Genomic DNA, 21,084 nt, shown 5'->3' on the forward strand with positions numbered 1-21,084 from the left:
CTTTGTCAAAAAAAAAAAAAAACATTTCTAAGGCTATAGCAACCATAGACAGTGATTCCTATGATGGATCTGGCTAAAGTTCACTGAAAACCTTCTGGAAAGGATTCACCATTCTAGATGACATTAAGAACACTGACAATTCATGGGAGGACATAAAAATATCAACGTGAACAGGATTTGGGAGAAGCTGATCTCAAGCCTCAAGGATGACTTTGAGAACCTGAAGACTTCAGTGGAGGAAGTCACTGCAGATGTGGTGGAAACAGCAAGAGAACTAGAATTAGAAGTGGACCCTGAGGATGGGACTGAATTGCTGCAATCTCATGATAAATTTTTTTTTTTTTTTGAGATCAAGTCTTGCTCTGTCGCCCAGGCTAGAGTGCAGTGGCGCAACCATGGTTCACTGCAACCTCTACCCATAGGTTCAAGTGAGTCTTGTGACTCAGCCACACAAGTAGCTTGGATTACGGGCGCCCACCACTACACCTGGCTAATTTTTGTATTTTTAGTAGAGACGGGGTTTCGCCATGTTTTCCAGGCTGGTCTCAAACTCCTGACCTCAGGTGATCCGCCTGCCTCAGCCTCCCAAAGTGCTGGGATTACAGGCGTGGGCCACTGCACCAGGCCCATTGCTTATTTTTTACTTTAGAACATGTGTTGTCATTTAAACGTAGCCAACAGTAAACCCATGCAGACATCAGAAAGGCTGTTGATCCCCTTGGGTTTGCAGAACAGGGCTCTGAGAGTGGGGGCCACAGGCAGAGTCTTCTAAACCCTCCACAGTCTGGAGTCTGCAAGCGAGTGCTGAGGTCTGGCTTGTTTCTCTGTGAGGCAGACGCTGCTCGGGAGATCCTGCAGGAAGGGTCTTCCCCTCCTGAGGCAGACGCTGCTGAGGGGGGTGAGGCTCCTGCAGGAAGGGCCTTTCCCTCCCGAGTCATGCACAGCTTTTCTTCAGGGTTAAGCATCGCCTCTTTTTTTCCAAAAGAAGAAAAATAAAGCATTGTGGTAAAATACATAAACATAAAATGTACCATCTTAACCATTTTAAGTATTTGGTTAAGAGGTATTAAATATGTTCATGATGGCTGCACATCATGAATATATTTAATATGTAAAAGGTTTAATATGTAAAAGGATGTAAAAGGTTTCATCTCCAGAACCTTTTAGTCTTCCCAAACTGAAACTCGCCACCATTAAACATTCACTTCCCCCTCTCCCGTCCCCACCCCGGCACCCACCATTCCACCTTCTGTCTCTGGGAATGTGACTTGTGACTGCTCCAGGGACCTCTTACGTGGAATTACACAGTACTTGCCCTTTTGTGTAGGCTTATTTTACTCAGCACAGTGTCCTCAAGGTTCATCCGTGCTGTGGTGAGTCTCGGAATCTCCCTCCTTTTTAAGGCTGAATAACATCCCATCGTATGAATGGGCCACATTTTCTCACCCACTCATCCCTTGACAGAGGCTTGGGTCGCTTTCATGTTTTAGCTGTTGTGAATAGTGCTGCTATGAACACGGTGTACAAATGTGTCTTTGAGACCTGTAGGGCGGTTTATGGTACAGAATTGCGTCTGCTTTTCTGCAGCTGTAAACAAAGAGGGAATTTTTTTCACTTCTTACTTTGTCAAGATTTATTTCACCAGAAATTGGGAGAGCTGGCAGGTTTTTTTTCAAAGGGATAGTGTCTTGCTCTGTAGCCCAGGCTGGACATGAACTCCTGGGCTGCAGTGATCCTCCTACCTCAGCTCCTGAGCAGCTGGGACCACAGGCACACACCACACACCCAGCTAACTGGCAGGTTTTAAGGCCAGGTGTAGGAATTCCATTAATTAATTCTAAGAGGGAAAAAAGACCAGAGTGGGAAGTTCAAAACTGACAGAGCATAAAAAAGCCAGAAATATGTTATTGACCCATGGAAGATTGACACATGGAAGATTGACCCATGGAAGATTGACACGTGGTAGATGATTGACACATGGAAGATGATTGACACATGGAAGATTGACACAAGGAAGATGATTGACACATGGAAGACTGACACAAGGAAGATGATTGACACATGGAAGACTGACATGGTAGATGATTGACACATGGAAGATGATTGACACATGGAAGATGATTGACACATGGAAGATGGGATGTGCCCTGTTTTGCAGGTACAGCACACAGGTCCTGGTGAGACCGCTGAGGAGGGAGTGTGGCGCGGAGGAGCCCTGCCCCTTCAGGCTCAGGTGGGGGCGTGAGGGTGGAGCCTGAGGTAGAGTCAGTGAAGAGCAAGAGGAAGGTGCGGAAGGGGGTCAGGGGAACACAGAGCCCCTGAGCTTAGCAGTGAGGGTTGTGGGAGGGCGTCTGAGCACCTTTGTGTCAGGGGGAGGCGACCTACCCAGAGAGAGCTGTTGATGCTGCAAAACCCTCAAAGTGGTGACAGGGTAGTAGTGTAAGCCAGGAGGGATGGGAGACAGGGAGACACGGGATGAAGGTCTCATTGCAAGTGCTGTGCATCAATGTCATCCGTGCAGCTGAAAACCCGGCTCCCTCGCTGATGGAAAAAATTAAAATTAAAGCTTCACTGATCATCCTAATGCCATCTCAATGGACTCCTTCGCCTTCCCCAGATTTTCAGTTACATCATCTAAATAACAACAACTTCATCTCTCCCTCCCTGGAATTTAGGCTCCAGATTCCTGTTTCCTGTCTTCCAAAGTAACATTAGGGACAGTGTTATGGCGGTTGTCTCAGACTGGCATCGCAGGACATCTGTGAAGATGGCACAATCCCTCCCTTCTTTGCCTCGTGCCTCTGCAATGAGACTCTGCTGCTCTGTTATCAAGAGGTGAAGACTTTTCTCTGTCCCTTGAATCCAGGCTGGGCTGTGACTTACCTTGACCCACAGAGAGTGGCAGAGGAGCCAGGAGGGACCACCCCAGGAAAGGCCTCCAGGCTGCTCAGCTTCTGCTCCTGCCTTGCAGAACCTTCCCTGAAGGCTGTGAGGCAGCCAGGTCTAGCCCTCTGGAGTAGCAGCAGCTGCGTGGAGCAGCTGAGGCCTCCTGGACCAACCAGTCAGGGGCGGGCGCCAGCTGCCAGCCTCATGAGAGGCATTGCCACATCCAGCCCAGGACAGCTGCCAGATGGCCAAGCTGCACAGTAACCATAGAGAACTGCCCAGCTGAGCCCAGCCCAAAAGCCTGACCCACAGAATCATGAGCAAAGAAAATTGTTTAACCCACTAAATTTGGGAGCAGTTTGCTATGCAGCAAAAGATAGCTGATACTCCAGGACTGCCTAGAAAACAGCCTGGGGCAAGGGTTAAGCGTGAGTCATTTACTAAGAAAATACAATTCCAGGCAGTAGTGATTCAGGGAAGAATTGGCAGCAAAGCCAGGAACAGCGTTAGTGTCTGACACCTGGCTGTGACAAGCTGCAAAGAGATGCAGCAGGTTGCTCAGCACGAGTGCTCTTGGCCACTTGCAGGGCGGCATTTCACCCCCGTCTGGAAGTGGCAGAAAAGAACAGCCAAGAGGGAGACGGTGCCCTCCCAGCCCCTGTGACAGGTCAGCACCAGGTGGCACCACATGGACCCAGGTGGGCCAGGCAGAGGCGGCTGAGGCAGAGACCAGGAACCTGGGGGACAGTGGCCCTAGGACCATCTAAGGGGAGAGACTACACAAGCAAAACCTGTGCACCGTTGGAAAGTGAGGAAAGCATCACGCCTTCACCTGCACACAGAGGCTGGGTGTGAAGTGTCAGGGGAGCAGGTGCTGGTCTTTCTCAGTCACGCCTTCACCTGCACACAGAGGCTGGGTGTGAAGTGTCGGGGGAGCAGGTGCTGGTCTTTCTCGGTCACGCCTTCACCTGCACACAGAGGCTGGGTGTGAAGTGTTGGGGGAGCAGGTGCTGGTCTTTCTCGGTCACGCCTTCACCTGCACACAGAGGCTGGGTGTGAAGTGTCAGGGGAGCAGGTGCTGGTCTTTCTCAGTCACGCCTTCACCTGCACAGAGGCTGGGTGTGAAGTGTCGGGGGAGCAGGTGCTGGTCTTTCTCTGGAATGCTATTTCCATTCAAGAGCTTTATGCTGGGCTGGGCACAGTGGCTCATGCCTGTAATCCCAGCACTTTGGGAGGCCAAGGCGGGCAGAGCACTTGAGGACAGGAGTTCAAGACCAGCCTGGGCAATATGGTGAAACGAAACCTTGTTTCTACTAAAAATACAAAAATTATCTGAGTGTGATGGCCCACACCTGTAGTCCCAGCTAACACTAATGCATAGTATTAGTTTCTTTATTCCCAAGTGCATCCGTGTTAGATAAGCTGCCGATTTTTTTCTCCAAGAGCCCCTCCCAGGCTGTGTCTTTGCCCTCTGTGGCTGGGGGAAGGCTCCTTCCTGGGTTCTGGGCTCTGTCTTAATCATGCCGGTGCCTCCCTCCAGGGTTAACTCTCTGGGGAAGCCACCTGGGTCCTGCCTCACTCTGATGAGGTGGCATTAAAATGCCAGAGCATAGGAAGCCTGGCTCCGTTGTGGTCTAGCAGCGAGCACTGCAGCTAGAATGAGGCAGATGTAGCTCCTGGGACAAGGTGGCACCGGCAGCCGCCTGGAGAGCAACCGGTTGAGGGAAGGTCCTGGCAGGGGCTGTGGCTCAGGCATTGGGGAGGCGTGGGGTGGAGGGTGGCTGGGCATTGCCAGGTGGTGGATGCCAGTGGAAGAGCAACAGGAAACTGAGGGCATATGCCAACCGTGAGAGCCCAAGGGGCCCCTGAAGAGAGGCACTCGTCTCCTCTGAGGAAGGGCGGCCAGGCCGAGTGGCCAGCGCCAGCCCCAGTTGTGAGTGACAACGCCCCAGAGCGTTTAACTGCTCAGCGAAGGCAGGGCCGGGGTGAAGGGACTCCTGGCTGCATCAGCCACCCTGCCATGGAGAAGCTTCTGGACTGAGAGGTACCGGATGGTCGGTTGCTGGAGGCACAGCTGAAGCCCCCCTTGGAGTCAGCCCTGTGTGATGGGGGCCAGGAACCCGGGGGACAGTGCACCACCTTCCAGGTACACGAAACCCAGGGCACCGTGTGACATCTGACGCCACCAGGAAGACCAGCAGGAGCCTGGAACCAAGAGGCAGAAGTGGGGGTGCTCTCTACTCCCCTTCCCGCCAGTGACCCTTGGGGCCTGGTGCTTCCTGACCCTGAAATACTGGCTGGCAAGGCTGGGGGTCCTCATCTCCTAAGGGGGCACGCTGTTAACAGGGGCCACAACTCAGGTCCTTGCTGCCGGGAACTGGGACTCTGGTGTCCAGGGTTGAGGCGGGAGAGGAGTGGCTGTCTTGGTGGAGAAGCTGGCTCCGAGCAGCGGAGGATGTGGGGCAGCTGCACACAGGCAGGAAGGGACCTCGTGGGGCCAGGCCAACCTCAGGGTGCCCTTGCCCTGCATCACTGTGCTTGGGCAGGTGCAGCCACCCCCAACCCAGTAAGAGTGTGATCATTAGGGGTTCAGTCTCCTCACATAGCCAGGGAAGCCCGCAAGACCTACAGAAGTGATAGTCAAGGGAGAGGAGGTGAAAAGCGAGGATGGAGGAAGAAGGGAGCCCCTGTCACAGCCCAGTGAGAAGCGATGATGGAGGCCAGCTGCAGGGCTGGAGGCTGTGGTGTGCCCCACTAACTGTGCAAAGTCTTCTCTCGGGGACAGGCCCCAGAAACCATGAGGAGCTCCTCCCCCAACATGGGTGGAGAAGTCGGACTGTGTGGCCCGAGGCATGGACTGGCCACCATGGTGCCTGCTCAGACCTCCCCTCTAGAGACCCACACTGAGGAGTGGGGCCACGGCCTCCAGGCATCCCCACCACTCGCTCAGCAGAATTGGAGTTGTCTCGTTCTGCTCAGGCTGCCCTAACAAAATACCACACCAACCCGGTCTCTGAAACAGCAGACACTTCTCATAGTTCTGGAGGCTGGGAGTCCAAAATCAGGGTGCCAGCACAGTCAGGTTCTGGTGAGGGCTCTCTTCCTGGCTTGCAGACAGCCACCTTCTCGCTGTATCCTCACGTGGCCTTTCTGTGATACATGTGTGGTGGAGAATCTCATCCTCTTTTTAGAAAGCCACCAGTGGTGTTGAATTAGGACCCCACCCTTGTGATCTCATTGCACCTCAATTACCTCCTAAAAGCCTTTTCTGCAAACAGTCACATTTGAGGTCAAGGCACAATAAATAAACTTTTGGGGAGACAATTCAGTCATATCTGACTGAGCGTGTTAAAGTCTCCAACCATGATCATGGATTCATAGCTTTCTCCTTGCAGTTTTTGCCTCACACGGTTTGATTCATATCCCTTAAGGATTGTTATGTCTTCTTGAACAACTCGACCCCTTTATCATTATGAAATGCTTTCTCTTCATCCCTGGTAGCTTTCTTTGCTCTGAAGTCTGCCTTGTCTGAAATTAAAATAGCTACTCCTGCTTTCTTTCCATCAGTGTAAACACAGTGTCTCTTTTTCTACTCATTTACTTTTAGTCTATATGTATCTAACTGTAAAGTGTGTTTCTTGTAGACAATATATAGTTGGGTATCATTTTTTATCCACTCTGATTTTAAAATCTCTGTTTTTTTTGTTTTGTTTTGTTTTGTTTTTCAGAGTCTCACTCTGTTGCCAGGCCGAAGTGCAGTGGTGCCATCTCGGCTCACTGCAACCTCCGCCTCCTGGGTTCAAACGATTCTCCTCCTGGGTTCAAAATGTCTTCTGCCTCAGCCCCCCGAGTAGCTGGGACTACATGTGCATGCCACCATGTTTTTTTTTTTAAGTAGAGACGAGGTTTCACCATGTTGTCCAGGATGGTCTTGATCTCTTGACCTTGTGGTCTGCCTGCCTCAGCCTCCCAAAGTGCTGGGATTACAGGTGTGAGCCACCTCGCCCTGCCAAAAATCCCTGTTTTTTTAATTGTTGTATTTAGACCATTGATGTTCAAAGTAATTATTCATATAATGGGATTAACATCTGCCATTTTGTTACCACTTTCTATTTTTTTGCCCTTGTTCTTTTTTCCTGTTTTTTTTTCCCACTCTTTTTCTGCCTTTTATGATTCTAATTGAGCATCTTATATGCTCAGTTCCATTTCTCTCCTTTCTTAGAATATGTTAGTGATTGCACTAGAATTTGCAATATCATCCCCAATTAATCCAAGTCTACTTTCAAACACTCCACTGCTTCACAGGTAACATGAGTTCCTTACAGCAACAACATAATCTTAGCTCCTTCTTCGTGTCCTTTGCATGATTTATGCCATTTGTTTCCATCATGTCTAAGCATATGTAAGCATATATGTACATAAGACACACACAAGATACATAAGGAGCCATATATAATTAAATACATTGTTGTTATTATTTAGAGCTGTTATCTGTTAGATCAGCTAAGAATAAGAATATTAAAAATTTTATTTTACCTCACTGTTCCTTCTTTGGTGTTCCTCCTTTCTTTACGTGGATTTGAGTTTCTGATCTATATTGCTTTCCTCTCTTTAAAAAGCTTCAAGATTTTTGCAAGGCAAGTCTACTGACGACAAATTCCCTCAATTTTTGTTTTCCTGAAAAAGTCTTTATTTCTCCTTCACTTTTGAAGGATAATTTCATGGGGTGCACAATTTTAGCTTGGTGGGTTTTTTTCTCTCAACACTTTAAATATCTCACTCCGCTCTCTTCCTGCTGTGTGGTGCTGTGGTTCAGATGTCCCCTCCAAAAGTCCTGTTGAAATTTAATTGCCATTGAGACAATACTGAGAGATGGGACCCTTGAGAGGCGATTAGCTCCTGAGGGCTTCACCCTCGTGAGCAGATTAGTGCCATTAACTCAGGAGTGTGTGCGTTGTCTTGGGAGTGGGCTCCTGATAAAAGGATGAGTTCAGGCTGATTTTTTCTCTGTCTCCCCTGCTTGCGTCCCTGCTCTGCCCCTCACCATAGACTGACCCTGGCCAGATGCCAGCACCAAGCTCCTGGACTTCCCATCTCCCAGAACTGTGAGCCAAATAAACTTCCTGATAATTTACCCCATCTGTGGCATTCTGTTACAGTGGTAGAAAATGGACTCAGACACATGGTTCCTGAGAGAAGGTGGATGTCATTCTTATCTTGGTTCCGCTACAGGCAAGGTGTTGGTGTTGGGAGGTTTTTTCTGGCTTCTTTCAAAATTTGTTCATGTTTGATTTTACATAGTTTAAATATGAGATGCCTAGGTGTCATTTTGTTTACTTGTTTGTTTTCTTTGGGGGCAGTGTTTTTTGTTTTGTTTTGTTTTGTTTTGGCATTTATCCTGCTTGGTGTTCTCTGAGCTTCCTGGATCTGTGGTTTGGTGTCTGACATTAATTTGGAGGATCCCTCAGTCATTATTGTTTCAGTTTTTTTGTTGTCCCTTTCTTCCTTCCTTCCTTCCTTTCTTCTGCTTCTGGTATTATTTGTGTTACACCTTTTATGGGTGTCCTACAGCTTTTGTATATTCTGTTCTTTTATTTTTTTTTTTTTTTTTAGTGATTGTTCTCTTTGCCTTTCACTTTTGGAAATTTCTATTGAGCTATCCTCAAGCTCAGAGGCTTTTTCCTCAGCTGTGTCCAGTCTCCTAATGAGCCTATCAAAGGCAGTCTTCATTTCTGTTGCCGTGTTTTCTATCTTTATGTTTCTTTTTGGTTCCTTCCTAGACTTTCCATCTGTCTGCTTACATTGTCCATCTGTTCCTGTGTGCTGTCTACTTTACCCACTAGAGCTCTTGGCATCTTAATCATTGCTGTTTTAAATTCCTGGTCTGATAATTCCAACATAACTGCCTTGTCTGGTTTTAATGGTTGTTTTGGCTCCTCAAATTCTGGTATGGGTTTTTTTTTTTTTTTTTTTTTTTTTTTTTTTTTGCCTTTTAGTATGTCTTGTAATATTTTCTTGATAGCCAGACATGATGTACAGAGTATAAAGACCTGCCGTAAAGATGCCTTTAGTGATGTGGTTGTAAGATGTGGGGGGAGGGGAAGCATTCTAGAACCTTCTAACCAGGCCTCAGTCTTTAGTGAAACTGTGCATTGGGCTGTGAGCTTCACAAGGGTTTCTCAGCCGCCCACCCCTCACTTTCTTAGATGAGACAGGATGGCTCGAGGGGGCGGAAGTTGGATATTTCTCTTCCCCTGGCAGGTTATAGTCTAGCTGAACAGTTTCTCCTGAGGGCAGCTCTTGTTAAGGACAGAATGTTCTGGTGTGTTTCAAAATGATTCCATTTTCCATCCTCCTACCTGCAGAATGAGATTTTTCTGATATTCACTGTGAGAATGTGGTAGAACTCCTGGGGTAAAACTCACATACGTGCGGTGTCCACCATGACTGGGTCCCCCTGCCGTGGTGTCCCCCATGACTGGGTCCCCCCGCCATGATGTCCGCCACGACTGGGTCCCCCCGTGGTGTCCCCCATGACTGGGTGCCCCCGTGGTGTCCCCATGACTGGGTCCCCCCGTGGTGTCCCCCAGGACTGGGTCCCCCCATGGTGTCCCCCATGACTGGATCCCCCCGTGGTGTCTGCCATGACTGGGTCCCCGGAGGAGTTTGGAGTTGCCCACACTGAGCCTCCAGGGATCTATCAGCTACAGTTCGGGTTTCCCCGCCCTGGAACAGGCTCCTGAGGTGGTTTCCACGGATGCGTCTCTGCTCCGGCAAACCATGGCCCCGTCATTGACAGGCCAGCGCCCGTCAGCCCCTCAAGTCTTGGGTGTACCAGGTACCTACGTCTTCACCGCTGTTTTGGGTGTGGGAAGAATTGTTGATTTTCAGTCTGCTCAGCTGACTTGTTGTTAGGGTGGAGCAGCGGCTCCTGAGCTCCTCACATGAGGTACCAGAGGCTGGAAGTCCAGTTTGGGCAATGGCAGGTGTAGACTCAGAATGTTCCACGCGCAGGGGCTCCCCCGAAAGGCGTTCTTTCCCCAGGGCTCCTCCGAGCCTGGCTAGTACGGTCTCGAACTGCAGTCTGAGGCTGGTCCTGCCCAGCCACCTACCTTCCCTCTCCTTCCACAGGTGCCACAACCACACCCCCACCTGGGGTTCCCCACCTGCCCCTCCTTCATCTCCCTTCTACCCCTCGCAGGGAGCCCCCATCCCATAAATCCACTTCCTATTCTGCCTTGGCATCTGCAGGACAAGTCCCAGGTGGCCTTGGAATGAACAAGCCCCTCCCTTCTCACGCGTACTTCTCGAGAATACCTGAAGAATGTGCCAGGAATGCAACCACCTGGTCTAGGGAAGGACCGGCCGGACAGCCCTGGCTCTGCTCCTGTGCCTCCTAGGGCAGGATGTCCCACACACTGTAGCCCTATGAGTCACCCCTGGCTATGGAACCCAGAGCAGAGTGCACCTTTGGGATCTCTCAGCTGTGGTGTGAAGCGGGACACACATAGACAAGGCTCCATTCGTTCTGGGCAGCTTTCCCGAGCCTCGGGGACCCGCTCACCATGGATCCTAAGCTTCTGCTGTTCCCTGCTGCCTGCCTGTGAGTAATAAAGTTGCTTTCATAACTGGTTGTGTGTGTGTTCTGTCTCCCTGGACTCTTGCACGTGGGTTGATGCTGGTTCATGGTATTGGGAGTTCTCTAGAGTCCTCCCCTGAGGCTGAGTCCAGGGCATGCTGGAGTCCAGGGCGTCAGTCAGGTGTCCAGGTTGAGTCCAGGGCATGCTGTCTTAGTCCAGCTGTGTTGCTGTAAAGCATCACCTGGGGCTGGCTCATTTGTAAAGAAAGAGGTTTCTCTGGCTTACGGTTCTGAAGGCTGTACAGGAAGTCTGGCACCAGGGTCTGCTTCTGGTGACAGCTTCAGGAGCTTCCACTCGTGGGGGAGGTGAAGGGGACCCATCATGCCAGGGTGGGAGAAGAGGGGGGTGGGGGCCAGGCTCTAACAACCTGAGCTCACAGGAGGTGAGAGGGAGAACTCAGCCCCACAAGAGGGGTACCAGCTGTTCGTGAGGGATCCACCTCAATGACCCAATCACCTGCCACCAGGCCCCACGTCCAACATCAGGGATCACATTTCAACATGAGGCTTGGAGGGGACCAACGTCCAAACAAATCAACAGTGAACCTGCTTCCCAGTGTCTGCTTCCTGGGGAGTGCCAACTGACACCAGCCCCAGGGTCTGAATCTCTTGGTCCTCTGGAGCTGTGGGGTGAATCAGTGCTTCTCACGGGGGAGCTTCCTGTGGCTTTTTTTTTTTTTTTTTTTGAGACAGAGTCTCACTCTGTTGCCCAGGCTGGAGTGCAGTGGTGTGATCTCAGCTCACTGCAACCTCCGCTTCCCGGTTCAAGCAACTCTTGTGCCTGAGCCATCGAAGTAGCTGGGATTACAGGCACCCACCACCACACCCAACCAATTGTTGTATTTTTAATAGAGACGGGATTTCACCACATTGGCCAGGATGGTCTCGAACTCCTGTCCTCAGGTGATCCACCCACCTCGGCCTCCCAAAGTGCTGGGATTACAGGTACCCACCACCACACCCAACCAGTTTTTGTATTTTTAGTAGAGACAGGATTTCACCATGTTGGCCAGGATGATCTCGAACTCTTGACCTCAGGTGATCCACCCACCTTGGCTTCCCAAAGTGCTGGGATTACAGGCACGCACCACCACACCCAACCAATTTCTGTGTTTTTAGTAGAGACGGGGTTTTACCATGTTGGCCAGGCTGGTCTCGATCTCCTGACCTCAGGTGATCCGCCCGCCTCAGCCTCCCAAAGTGCTGGGATTACAGGCGCGCACCACCACACCCAACCAATTTCTGTATTTTTAGTAGAGATGGGGTTTCACCATGTTGGCCAGGCTGGCCTGTGGCCTTTTTGGTGGGCCTCCCCTGGCCTTTTAAATCAGGCAGCCATAGCTCTCATCTGCTGGTAATCCTCTTCTGTTCAACTGTTTCTTTATAATTTCATTCCTTTCTACCAGTTCAGTGATTGTTTCTCCAGAGAGTTGCCATTCTTTTTTTTTTTTTTTTTTTCTTTGGGGGGACGGAGTCTTGCTCTGTTGCCCAGGCTGGAGTGCAGTGGCACGATCCCAGCTCACTGCAAGCTCTGCCTCCTGGGTTCACACCATTCTCCTGCCCCAGCCTCCCGAGCAGCCAGGACTACAGGCACCTGCCACCATGCCCGGCTAATTTTTTCTATTTTTTAGTAGAGACGGGGTTTCACTGTGTTAACCAGGATGGTCTCAATCTCCGAACCTCAGGATCCGCCCGCCTTGGCCTCCCAAAGCGCTGGGATTACAGGCGTGAGCCACCGCACCCAGCCCAGAGAGTTGCCATTCTAACATTCATACCCATGACATCTACATTTTAAATATTTTATTGATGATCACTATGGGATAATAAAGGAGAAAATAATTTTTAAAAAGACTCTGCAAAATTACATTAGTTCTCCTAATCATGAGATGCTTGCTTCAGAGTTTCAGGATCCACCCAACATGGGAAGTCAAAGCCTCTCTGGGATACTACGGGGCTAAGGTGCACAGTCGCTCAGGTTGTGCACAACACAAGGGCACCCCATTCACATGAAAACATCTTCATTATTTTGAAAATCTGCAGAGCACTGTGTAGACACATTAGGGATTACCTTACATGAGGCTATACTAATTTATGATAGCAATTATTTATGTGTTGTTATGGAAAACTGGGAGACAAAAATGAATTACTGTTTTGAGATCTTACGAAGCTTGGAAGACAGATTGGCCCTGGGGAGGCAGCGGTGGCCGCAGTTTGCAGGGAAGATTGCTGCCGAGGAGGAATCTGTGCACACGACAGGCTCCAACGATCTGCACAGGGCCACATGGGGCTTTGGCTGAGGACTAAGCTTCGCACGCACTGCACAAAACCCCAAGAGCTGAGCAAAAGTGGCCACCTGGGAGCCCCCTGAAAGCTGCACCAGGACAAGGCCCGTCTGACCAGGTCAAGTGCAGAGCCCCGAGGAACCTGGGTTGGTGATGGAGACCTCAGAAAGTCCCGGCCACTAGAAAAGAAGCATTTACATGATTGAAAAAAACGTTTGCAGAAAAGAGGTGAAATGACAGAACGAGGGAAAGACTCAGCAGAATGTAGCCCAGAGACATCGCGATGGAGACATGAGCTCACTTTCTGTCTCCTCATCAACCAAGAACCCCATAAACAAGGGCAGAATGCTCCCTGCGTCCAGCACTGAGACCGAGACCCAAGATGCACCAAGAGATTGAGAAACTGAGATCCACAGATGCACAAAGACCCACAGACGCACAAAGACCCTCAGACACACAAAGCAAAACGCGTTCTGATGCCCCGTGTCAGACGCGTCCTGAAGGATGAGCGATGGTTTCTGCCCGCTGAGAAGTATCCATCTGGAGCTGAGATTTAAGCCCCTCCACTCAACGGCAGCAGGAGTCTCTCCCCACGCTGGTGTGACCCACATGCAGGGCACCCACACATGTGAGGGGCGCCCGCTGCGAGGAGGTGGTGCCTGCGCCCCCTCCAAGCTGCACCTCAACCTGTCCCACCCTAAAGTGAGACGGACTGGATCCCCCACCGGCCAGGGCTGCTTCGCATCACACCGGTTCCCCCTGCTCTCTGTGCCATCGTCCCCTCCATGTGGCTTCCCAAACCACGGACACCTGGCATCTCCATCAGCCTTGGCCCTGGGCACAGTGAGTGTTTTCCATGCATTTGTGGGATTTTTAAAATAAACTTCTGTTGCCCTCGTTAGATTATAGGCCTTGTGAGAACAGGGACCAAGTCTTTTATGGATGAGGGGCGGGTGTCCGGAGTTTCAACATGGCACTTCCAGGGCTACAAGGAGGTGAATGGATGAAGAGCTCCTGTTGAGTGGAGACAGAGGAGCCCTGAGGCCTCTTTATGAAAAAGCAAAAATAAGCACCATGGAGCAGGTGGTGGTCGTGCCACTGGTGGGAGTGGGATCATCCTGCTAGGCACCAACCATCCCCAACCAACAGAGGAACACAGGCTCTGCCTCCTGCTCCGCATCTCCTCATTACACACAGAAACGTCCTCGGCTCGAGGACAAAAGCCCATCTGTATTCTGATCTGAGCAGGACTGGGTGCCGCCCTCACATCTGGAGGGAGCCTGAGACTACCCGACAGGAGCCACAGGTACCACACGGTGAGGACCCCCTTCCAGACACCCCCCTGCCCAGCTCCTGTGGACCCTCCCCCAACCTTTGCCAGGGGGGACCGTGGTCCTCTGTGGCGTGTCGTCTGCACCCGTCTTCATCGGGGGCACTAGCACCTGCCACACACTCAACAGCATCACTTCCCACTGGAAAAACAATGCCACAAGATTCTTCTTGGCGAGAACAAACCAGAAAATGGGACCTGAAGAAGCCGAGAGCCTCGCCTGTGGTCAGACAGCAGCTGAGCATGGGCAGAGGACAGAGCCCAGGCCGAGGGCCGCGGCCGCCCCCACCCACAAAGACCCCTGTCCTGTCCTGGGTGGAATTCCCACACCAGCTCAGGAGGAGCCCCACCTCCTCACCCTTCCTTGTCCTCATTCCAGGGAAATGGTCTGGAAGAGCACCAGCTCCCCACGGAGCTGACTGTTTCTCTGCTTGCAAATTTCATGAGATTTCTGATTCTGAGCTCGAATCTTCTCTCCACTTTCACCTCTTGCCATTCCTCATGACCGGTCCATTTCAACATCAGGGCCAATTGTTCCTTGTACAATTGCATCTTTTCCACAGTTTAGTACAAGAAACTAGGATTCTCTTCATGTAAAAGCTATTTGATGACAAACACCTTGTTCTAAGTGACTGCCAGGAAGTGCTTGCTAATTTTAAATTCTACATTATGATGAGGCAAAGTTAGTAGGAGCCAAGGGACAGAGCACTCCCATATCTCCTCAGACACTCGCCAGGTGCATCTGTGGAGAAGCCGCCCAGTGAGTCCTTGCATCTCACAGGTGCTTCTCACAGGTGCGTCTCACAGGTGCACCTCACAGGTGCATCTCACATGTGCATCTCACAGGTGCATCTCACAGGTGCGTCTCACAGCTATGTCTCACAGGTGTGCCTCATAGGTGCGTCTCACGTGTGTCTCACGTGTGTCTCACAGGTGCGTCTCAGGTGCGTCTCACGTGTGTCTCACAGGTGCATCTCACAGGTGCATGTCACAGGTGTGTCTCACAGGTGCATGTCACAGGTGCGTCTCACATGTGTGTCTCACAGGTGCATCTCACGTGTTTCTCACAGGTGCGTCTCAGGTGCATGTCACAGGTGTGTCTCACAGGTGCATGTCACAGGTGCGTCTCACATGTGTGTCTCACAGGTGCGTCTCACGTGTGTCTCACAGGTGCGTCTCACAGGTGTGTCTCAGGTGCATGTCACAGGTGAGCCTCACAGGTGCGTCTCACAGGTGCGTCTCACAGGTGTGTCTCACAGGTGTGTCTCACAGGTGCATCTCACAGGTGCATGTCACAGGTGCATCTCACAGGTAAGCCTTACAGGTGCGTCTCACAGCTGTGTCTCACAGGTGTGTCTCACAGGTGTGCCTCACAGGTGTGTCTTTTTGACTGTGTCAAGTCCAACCCAATCAGGGTCCCCCAGCATCATCAGTAGGTATGTAGGGAAGTGAGATGGGGAAAAGATAGAACCAATAGTGTGCCATGGAGCAGTTACCTCTGGGCCCCTGCAGGTAAGGGAGCTGCGGTGTTCACACACAACTCCCATGGTCATGGCTCAGGGTTCCCCAGAGGCTGTGGACTCCTTGCCGCCCTGAACCTACTCACCTACAATCACGACGGGCTCCTGGGGCAGGACAAAGCCACAGGTGAGGAACGCGGTGCTGCGGGTGGAAGCTGCTGTCACAGTCGTGTTAGGGTGAGTGGACTATGGCCGCAGACTGTGGGCTCCTCCCAGCCAACCCTCACTCCCGCTAGCGCCCCAAATCTTCAGTCCAGCACCCCTTCCCCGTCCCACCCACTCTCCACACTGAGCCCTCCCAGCCAACCCTCACTCCCGCTAGCACCACAAATCCTCAGCCCAGCACCCCTTCCCTGTCCCACCTGCTCTCCACACTGAGCCCAGCCACTCCACGCTCCCTTGGGCAGGTGGCAAGGCAGAGCCTGAGGTCAGCTGCCACCCCCAGCCCCACCCCAGGGCCCTCATGCCCCCAGCAAGGCCTCTCCAGCTCTGCGGTCCCACTCAAGATGCGCTTAGCTCATTTCACACGCAGGTGAGTGTCTCAGTTCTGCGGGCACGGAGGCCCCTGTGGGAGGGAGGTTGGCAGGCCCCTCGCTGACGGAGGGGAGCAAGGGGCAAAGTGGGGGTGTCCAGAAGGGGGTTGTGAGGAACTGGGGGACGGGAAAGAGCCCGGAGAGGAAAAAGGAGGTGGGGAGGGGCTGCGTGTGCATAGACCTCAGGGTGGGGCAACCGAGGACCTGAAGGCTGGTTTCCGGCCGCCATCCTCACATCCAGGCGCAATGTGAGCTCATCCCTGGGAGTTGGGAAATGCAACCGGCAGGCTCTGGAGGCTGTTCTGGGACTGAATGCAAAGCAGGCGACCCTCCCCCCGGCCCCAAACCCAAGCACTGCAGCGGCCCCACAACCCCTCCCCCCACCCACATCCCCACTCCCCCGTCCCCAGTGAGAATTCACTATTTTTAGGAAAAAGGGGAAGCCTCTCAGCAGATCCTTGAAAGGAAGTGACTTTGTGACTAAGTGGAGGCAGGAACATCATGGCACAAGGGCACACGTCGCACACCCAGCTGGGCCCACTGTGGACGGCGCAGATGCTGCCTCAGAGCAGCCTCCGAGACAGGCAGCTGCAGCGGTGCAGCCCAGGGCCCTCGCAGAAGCTTCCCCGGGGCCTGGCCTCGTGCTGAGAGAACTCTGCGCTCCTGAGGGCACCTGGCTGTCATGCACACGTGCTCACACGAACACACACACCTACACGTGCGCACACTCACACTCCGTGCACACACGTATGTGCACACTCATGCACGCGTGCACACACGTCTACCAGCTGAGTGCAGTAAAAGAACCACATGAAAACCTTGCATCCTGGTTAAAAGTATGGTGACAACATGGACAGATAAACTGGAAAAGATGGGAAGAAACCTTAAGCCCAGGATCTGGCAGCACAAAGGTGCCTGGAAAGCGACAATCAGCGTTTTTATATTCAGGGAAATCAGGAACACTGCCACCCGCCCGCCAGGCCGGCGCCCATGCCAGACCCAGCCAAGGTGCTTCTGGCCACATCACCCCTGCTGGCCTGCAGGGAGCTGGCCCAGGAGCCGAGAGGCCTATGGGAGCAGGCAAGGCTTGCTGAGGTGACAGCGGAGAGGAGAGGTCGGGCTTTGTTGCCAGGCAGCCCCCCAACATTCAGGTCCTTTTTCCACTGAAAGCCATGTGGCCTCAGAGCGGCGTCACCCCGAAGCTTGTCCCAGCCGGGGCCTGACAGCAGGTAAAGGCTGACTAGCAACTCTGCATCCCTCAGAGTGTGGGGGAAGGTGGATGTGGTCCCACCTCCACATCCAGGGTCCCCTTGCTGGCCTCTGGGCATTTGGGTCCTGGTGTGATTACCCAGCCCCCTCTCCCTGCACAGGGGTGAACTGCATCTCCTGGAGGCAGGGCCAGTGCCCCACCACCTCCCCAGCACACCCGAGCCCAGGTCTGGGCTCCCAGGAGGGCCTGGGGCCACCTGTGGGACCAACCCAAACCCTCAGGCAGCTCCACCAGCAGAAAGCGTCATGCTGTGTGTGGGATAACCTCCTCAGGGGATTAGTTCTCAGGGCCTGGTCCGCTAGAAGCCAAATGCCTGTGCCCAGCCACCCGTGACGCCTGCAACAGGCAGGAGATCCCCCAACAGTTACTCCCAGCCTTCATTCCACAGGGTCTGGTTTTCCTGGAAGGTGGGAAGTCCCAGGGTCTGAGGAGAGGGAGCGCAGGCCCCCATTTGTAGGAGTGAGTCAGCTGACCCGCCCCCGGGGTTCCTAATCTCACTAAGAAAGACTTTGCTGATGACAGGGTTTCCTGGGAGTCCATGCGTGCCTGGAGCAGCAGCGTCTCCAGGGACAGGCAGCCACCATGAGCCTCAGTGAGGAGCAGGCCCGGAGCTTTCTGGACCAGAACCCCGATTTTGCCCGCCAGTACTTTGGGAAGAAACTGAGCCCTGAGAATGTGGCCGCGGCCTGCGAGGACGGGTGCCCGCCGGACTGCGACAGCCTCCGGGACCTCTGCCAGGTGGAGGAGAGCACGGCGCTGCTGGAGCTGGTGCAGGATATGCAGGAGAGCATCAACATGGAGCGCGTGGTCTTCAAGGTCCTGCGGCGCCTCTGCACCCTCCTGCAGGCCGACCGCTGCAGCCTCTTCATGTACCGCCAGCGCAACGGCGTGGCCGAGCTGGCCACCAGGCTTTTCAGCGTGCAGCCGGACAGCGTCCTGGAGGACTGCCTGGTGCCCCCCGACTCCGAGATCGTCTTCCCACTGGACATCGGGGTCGTGGGCCACGTGGCTCAGACCAAAAAGATGGTGAACGTCGAGGACGTGGCCGAGGTGGGTCTGTGCGGAGCCTCAGGGAGGCGGCTGTGTGCATCTCTTGCACCTGTCCCAGGTGTCTAAGGGTCAGCTCGGATCCTCAGGCCTCCAGGGAGGCCTCTTGTCAGGGCACAGGCTAGTTCTGTGCTGAGGAGCAAGTACCTAGAGCCCCCTCCCGGCACTGTGCCCTGGCCGCCTGCCTCTCCGACTCGGCTTCTGGCTCAAGCTGACATCGCATGGCCACTGAGTTGGTTAGACCTGAGTCTAGGAGCCTCGGCTGAAGCAGACTCAGGCTCAAACCGGGGTGCCCCTGATTCTGCATCCACATCCCATGGTGGGGACCATGTAGTCCCTGTGAGGACCCCTGGCTTCCAGGAAGACTGACCAGATGGGGGCTTCAGGGCTCTCTGGGCTGGGAGGGAGGCCCTGCCTTGGGATTTGGGAAGAAGAGGTCACAGTCGAAGGTGGTGCAGACGCCCACAGGGAGGGAGAGCCAGGGGAACCCCAAACTTCCACTGTGGCAGAAGCAGCTTTATCCCATGGGAGCCCACGCCAGCCGCCAGGGGAGAACAAACCTGGTAGCCACTGAGCACAGGGGTCCAGGGTGGGACTGGGGAGGGACAAGAGACAGAATCGAGACAGGCTCACTGGAGTCACTGAAGGAGGGAAGGGCAGGGCCTGTTCATGCAAAGCCTGGGCTAGGGCAGACGCTTCCCGAGGACAGAGGCGGTCCTGGCGGGACTGGAGAACAAGAGGGGTGTGAGGTGCCTGCCAGACTGGGTGAGGGCAGCGGCCAGCAGAGACCTGGAAAGGCCCTGAGGAGCTGCCCGGCAAGGGGGCTCTGAGGAAGAAGGGGAGGGGGGAAGCCCCTTCTCCCTGTCCTGCACCCGTCCCAGCTTCCTCTCCCCTTTTCTGTCCCCACAGCTAAGGAGGCTGCAAGAGGCCCAGGCAGCCTCCGCTCTTGCTGGATGAGCCTTGGGAATTACCCACCAGGCTGCCAGCCCAGGGGCAGGTGTGGTCCCTCCTTCCCAGGCAGCTGGGGAGTGGCAATCCTGGTTTGTTTTCGTTTGTGGGTTTTTTTTTTTTTTGAGACAGAGTCTTGCTCTGTCACCAGGCTGGAGTACAGTGGCATGATGTCAGCTCACTGCAACCTCCGTCTCCCACGTTCAAGCGATTCTCCTGCCTTGGCCTCCTGAGTAGCTAGGACTAGAGGTGCCCGCCACCACACCCGGCTAATTTTTGTATTTTTAATAGAGACAGAGTTTCGTCATGTTGGTCAGGCTGTTCTCGAACTCCTGACCTCAGGTGATCAACCTGCCTCAGATTTCCAAAGTGCTGGGATAACAGGCGTGAGCCACCGCACCAGGCCGGAAGTGGCAATCCTCTTATCCCAATGGCAGTAAGCAAGCAGCAAGGCAGTGACCTAGATTCAGTAATCCCCGGGTTACCTTCATCTCCACCTCCCTCCTAAGAAGTGGGGCACCCACAAATCAATCGTGCATCAGGAGCATGAGTTACCAGGAAGCCAGGAAACTTCACAGCAGTGGGGCCTGGGGTGGACACCAGCTGCTCCTCCCTCCCCCCGTTCCCTCCTCCCTCCTCCCCTCACTCTCCTGCCACCCTCCTCCCTCCTTTTCTGCCATCCTCCCCGTCTCCCTTCCTTCCTCCTGCACACAATCCCCAAGACAACTTCTCATCCCCACCCTGTCCCAAATCTGGGCTGTGTCTTTCTTGCCCCCAGGAGTTTGTCCCCCGCTGCCACCACCCCTTCACCCCTTTGTCCCCACCCGGCTGATGGTGTCTCTTCCCTGCTCTGCGGGTCCCCCTCAAACTGCTGGGCTGTCCTAGGTCCGTCCCTCGGCCTGGCCTGTTCCCCAGGGCTGTTCTAGGTCCTGCCACCCCCACCCCCAGTGCCATGGCCGCACCTGCCCCAGGACTGACCTCCGAGGCCTCTCCCCTGCCCAGTGTAGCTGGTGCCATTCCAAGGGGCTGGGCATGGTGTCTGTCCCTCCATTCTGTGGAGTCTTAGTTATCTCAGACTAAGGGAACAGAAACTTGAGTCTGAATTGCCACCAAAAAAAGCAAATCTTCATGAAGTGCAAATCCTCATGAAGTGCAAAGCCTCATGAAGTGCATCTCAGCACCCTAAGCACTGCCAAGTGGCTTCTGGGTTCATGTCTCAGTTTACAGAAGGGGGGACTGAGGCAGAGCACACCTCAGTCTGGCCCACTGCACCCTCTTTGGAGGGCGTGAGCCGCACCGGCCAGTTCAGGAGAGCAGCTCGTGGCTGTGGTGGAAGAGTCCCTCAGACGGGGCGTGGGTGGCCAGCACGCAACACCCGGGCCACCCGGAGTCTCACCCTCCTGCCCGGGCCACCCGGAGTCTCGCCCTCCTGAGCCTTGTCTCCCTGTTTACATTGGGGAACTAATGTCTGCCTCTCAAGGGTGCTGCAGCGGCTAAACCAGCCTGCTCCTGAGCACAGCGGGCCCTGAGTCTGCAGGGCAGGCAGGCCCCGGGTAACCCGCTCCTCCCTGAGCTGCAAGCGTCCATCCTCCTGGAGCTGAGGGTGCCAGCCCAGGGTGAAGGCTGCAG

At 53.6% G+C, this 21,084-nt stretch overlaps 1 protein-coding gene and 1 long non-coding RNA gene across 7 annotated transcripts in view, besides 4 other annotated features; both read left to right on the forward strand.

The window, feature by feature from the left end:
• LOC124900162 (uncharacterized) overlaps nucleotides 1–10,514 on the forward strand; it is a 29,315-nt gene extending 18,801 nt beyond the window's left edge. Inside the window, exon 2 of the long non-coding RNA XR_007057986.1 lies at nucleotides 10,138–10,514. This is a non-coding gene — a long non-coding RNA (uncharacterized LOC124900162). The remainder of the gene's footprint in view (nucleotides 1–10,137) is intronic.
• Nucleotides 3,324–4,083: an enhancer, noted in NCBI's record as "H3K4me1 hESC enhancer chr4:604697-605456 (GRCh37/hg19 assembly coordinates)". NCBI's record gives its function as "activates a minimal SCP1, AML or CMV promoter by ChIP-STARR-seq in naive H9 embryonic stem cells {active_cell/tissue: H9 hESC(naive)}" and the evidence as "EXISTENCE:reporter gene assay evidence [ECO:0000049][PMID:30033119]".
• Nucleotides 15,685–16,675: an enhancer, noted in NCBI's record as "H3K4me1 hESC enhancer chr4:617058-618048 (GRCh37/hg19 assembly coordinates)". NCBI's record gives its function as "activates a minimal SCP1, AML or CMV promoter by ChIP-STARR-seq in primed H9 embryonic stem cells {active_cell/tissue: H9 hESC(primed)}" and the evidence as "EXISTENCE:reporter gene assay evidence [ECO:0000049][PMID:30033119]".
• Nucleotides 17,665–18,654: an enhancer, noted in NCBI's record as "H3K4me1 hESC enhancer chr4:619038-620027 (GRCh37/hg19 assembly coordinates)". NCBI's record gives its function as "activates a minimal SCP1, AML or CMV promoter by ChIP-STARR-seq in primed H9 embryonic stem cells {active_cell/tissue: H9 hESC(primed)}" and the evidence as "EXISTENCE:reporter gene assay evidence [ECO:0000049][PMID:30033119]".
• Nucleotides 17,989–21,084, forward strand: part of PDE6B (phosphodiesterase 6B) — a 45,210-nt gene continuing 42,114 nt past the window's right edge. For all 6 annotated transcript variants that reach the window (XM_047415773.1, XM_047415772.1, NM_000283.4 and 3 more), the window contains exon 1: nucleotides 17,989–18,510. In XM_047415773.1, coding sequence (XP_047271729.1) covers nucleotides 18,043–18,510 — 468 coding nt within the window. In that variant the 5' untranslated portion in view covers nucleotides 17,989–18,042. The remainder of the gene's footprint in view (nucleotides 18,511–21,084) is intronic.
• Nucleotides 18,655–19,643: an enhancer, noted in NCBI's record as "H3K4me1 hESC enhancer chr4:620028-621016 (GRCh37/hg19 assembly coordinates)". NCBI's record gives its function as "activates a minimal SCP1, AML or CMV promoter by ChIP-STARR-seq in naive H9 embryonic stem cells {active_cell/tissue: H9 hESC(naive)}" and the evidence as "EXISTENCE:reporter gene assay evidence [ECO:0000049][PMID:30033119]".

This window comes from Homo sapiens, chromosome 4 (assembly GCF_000001405.40).
Source record: "Homo sapiens chromosome 4, GRCh38.p14 Primary Assembly".
Lineage (NCBI taxonomy): Eukaryota > Metazoa > Chordata > Mammalia > Primates > Hominidae > Homo > Homo sapiens.